The sequence below is a fragment of the Homo sapiens genome, chromosome 1, assembly GCF_000001405.40.
Source record: "Homo sapiens chromosome 1, GRCh38.p14 Primary Assembly".
NCBI lineage: Eukaryota > Metazoa > Chordata > Mammalia > Primates > Hominidae > Homo > Homo sapiens.
The window spans coordinates 187,925,907-187,929,389 of NC_000001.11; the positions used below are offsets into that span (position 1 = coordinate 187,925,907).

Genomic DNA, 3,483 nt, shown 5'->3' on the forward strand with positions numbered 1-3,483 from the left:
TGTGAAAGGTTGACAAAGAAATTACTTTGATTATGTTGCTCTCTTATTTTGACTGTTTATCTGGAGATTGAATCTTACCCTTATAATGAATTTTCTTTGGTAAACTGTGGCTGAGTCAGCCCCAGCCGCTTCTCAGTTTCCTCTTCTGCCCCAGCTTCGTGTCCTCTTTCCCTATTCTTTCTAGTGTCCACTCTACCCCAATAGGCAATCAGTTATGTTCTGGTCAATTCTATCAAATCATGTACTAACTTGATTCACTAGTCACATCTAAAATAGAGTTTCACCAATCTCTAAAGAGTGGAATGATGTTAGAAAAAGTAAAGTAAGTTTTGTGAAATAAACAGAGCCAATAATAATATAAATCTATATGTAAATATATCTTATTTCACAAAATTTTCTTTAAAAAGGCTTTATGTTTATAAGCTATTTTGGGTAATATGTGTTAGAAAATCCTTATTCAGTGGAAATATTCGGTCTGCAATCCATTATTGGCATAGTGCTATGGCAGTGATAATAACTGGTCATTTTATTTGTGGTAATCATTTGAAAAATGTATGGAATCAACTTTGGAATTTCTGTATCACTTTACAGGCTTTGCATGTTAAAAAGGAATGTAGAAATTGATGCAATATTGGCCAATATATGCAATTCTGATGGTAGAGATGATAAATAGTCTTCCCAGTTTTGTATTTCCACTTATATCCTCTAAAATTATCCCTAAAAAATAGCTATTCAGTCAGTACATCACAGTCTTTGTGCATCTAGAAGTGGACATACGACTAGTGGTTTCTTGTTTTTTTTTTTTAAACTAGTGAAATATGAGCCAAAGTGACGTGTGTCATTTCCAGGCCAAGGTTTTTAAAAAAGTTGGTGTTCATTCCCCATACTTTTCCTTCAACAGCTAGAATTATATTAGATGTGGTCTTAAACAGAAGAAGCCTCATACCTGAATCACCACATGAAAAGCAGTGATCTGTGCACATCGAGCAATGCTTTGAACTCTGACATTAGCCAGAAATACTTTTGTTTTATTTCAGGTATTAGAGACTATATGTTATAGTACCTAGTATTACCCAAACTAACAACTCTCTTGGTACATACTGTGACAATACATTAGGAAGAATTGAAAATAAGGTTTTTATTCTTATTCAAGCAAAGCGAGTCTCACATTGTGAATAAACATTTTTGATGCGAGGGAAGGATTTGAAAGGATATTCTAGTGTGAAACAGCACTTTCTTGAGCTAGTCAGAGAGGGAGAAACAATTGAATTTGAGTTTTTGAAATGGGTATTTGAACTCTTAATGAATTGATGTTTTTCCAAAAGTATGTTTTATCAAATATGATTGGAAAACAATGCATTATGTATCCAACCTCTAGAGTTACATGTGCATTATCACATTAAAGGTTTTTTTGTTTTGTTTTGTTTTGTTTTGTTTGAGACAGAGTCTCACTCTGTTGCCCAGACTGGAGTGCAGTGGTGTGATCTTGGCTCACTGTAACCTCCACCTCCCAGGTTCAAGCGATTCTCCTGCCTCAGCCTCCTGAGTAGCTGAGACTACAGGCATGTGCCACCACACCAGGCTAATTTTTTTACATTTTTAGTACAGACGTTGTTTTACCATATTGGCCAGGTTGGTCTTCCAACTCCTGACCTCATGAGCCATTGTGCCCAGCCCAGATTAAGGGTTTTAAAGACCTGAAAGCAAACTGGTATTTCTTAATCTCAGCTTTTCAAACTTGCCTTACAGGGCAACTCTTTTCCCCTTGTAATACCTGTTAATATCTCACTGGAATATGTTTGGAGAGAAACATTGGAAGTACTCGCTGTAACTTACTCTGAAGTGAAGTTTAGCTTCACATAAGATTACCATTCAAGCTGATTACCAAATGTTATTGCTTGGAGCTACTTTTACAACAGGGAATGGTGGGTAACATCTAGGTCACAGGTGTCAGAGTTCAAGCATTGAATCCTGATTCTATCTCTCACTGCTAGCTGTATGAATGGGGACAATTTCCTCTGGTCCTAAATTTCCTCACTGTAAAATGTGTTTGTTATGAAAATTAAATTAGTTGATACACATAAAGATCTTATGTGTAGAGCACATAGTAAGCGCTCAACAAATATAGATGGTATCTGCACCTCTCTTTAAAAAGTCTAAAGCTACAGAGGAGTGAAGAATCCCATATATTAAAAACAAACAAACAGAAATGAAAACAAAAACAAAACAATCATCAGCTCAGAGGGTAAATGATATACCAAAAATGGATACACCTTTTTTGCCAAATAAAAACAAGAGATACATTATTGAAGAAGCAAGATGAAAAGAGAAAACAAAGTAAACAAAATCCTAGTACCATTTGCATGCTTGTAACATTTTCCCAGTGTTAATCCATTTTTTTCTTCTGTTTACCACTTCTTTCTCTTAAAATTACTGAAAAAAAAGAGCCTCCAAAATCCTCAAGAATGGTTGATACTTTGGAGAATGGAATAGAAAGAAAGTAGGAAGGAAGGAAAAGCTGCGAAAATTCTTCTGTGTTTCTCAGAGGAATGAGGCACGTCAGAAATGGGAGGCGGCAGCCAGAGGGAGCCCGTAGCTTAATTAAGTCTCACAGGAGACACTGTGATTGCATCTTAAGTGAGGGGAAGAATGAATACAGAATGGTTCCAGGGCAGTTTGTATCAACAGGGGACCCCTCCCCTTGTTTCTTCTCTCTGCCTTCAAAAGTGTTTCTTAAATACCAATATGTTGTCTTCAGCTTTGTCTTTTTTATTTTTTTTAAGTTTCAGAAAATTAAGAAGATTAAAAAATGAAATTTGTGTATAAGGGAAGCTCACTTTGGAGACATGAGATCATTTATTCTGGAAAATCAGTGTCTGGGGGAAACAAAAGCAGCAACAATAGTCAGGCAGACATTTAAGTGAGGCTTTAATCTACAGGCTCAGCACAGATGAAGACTGTGTATGAAACAACAGATCAAAAGTAGCCAGTCCTAGGCAAGAGACTTCACACAGCATAAAGTGTGTAGAGAATTTGCGACCTTGGAATTAGGCATGTATTTACTTATCTCTTAATGCACTGCATGGAACTTTACAACGAGTGGGAAAGCATGTGTTACAGGCATTGATCAAATATCTATCAACATGTCTCAATTATTTATCCATCCTATTTGAGCCAAACTATTACACTCATGCCAGACAGGGATAGGAAAATGACTCTGTAGTAACTGCAGATAAACAGCGAGTGCGATGTTGTGCATTTTATTTTGTGAATGGTGACATGCCATGTTAATCAAAATAACCACATTTCACCTTTCAGCTTTCTTTAAATTGAAGCCCTTGAAGTCTTTTTGGATCTTTTCTTTTCTCCTGGAGAGCTAAAGCATAGCTCCCTACATTTTCTCAGGTGTGCCTATGGTTGTAATTATCACTGTATGCTGATGCCACTGATTTTCTTCTTAGCCCAGTTTTGTTCTCTAGCTCC

General features: G+C 36.4%; 1 annotated feature.

Moving 5' to 3' along the window:
- Positions 2,340-2,841: an enhancer, noted in NCBI's record as "NANOG hESC enhancer chr1:187897377-187897878 (GRCh37/hg19 assembly coordinates)". NCBI's record gives its function as "activates a minimal SCP1, AML or CMV promoter by ChIP-STARR-seq in naive H9 embryonic stem cells {active_cell/tissue: H9 hESC(naive)}" and the evidence as "EXISTENCE:reporter gene assay evidence [ECO:0000049][PMID:30033119]".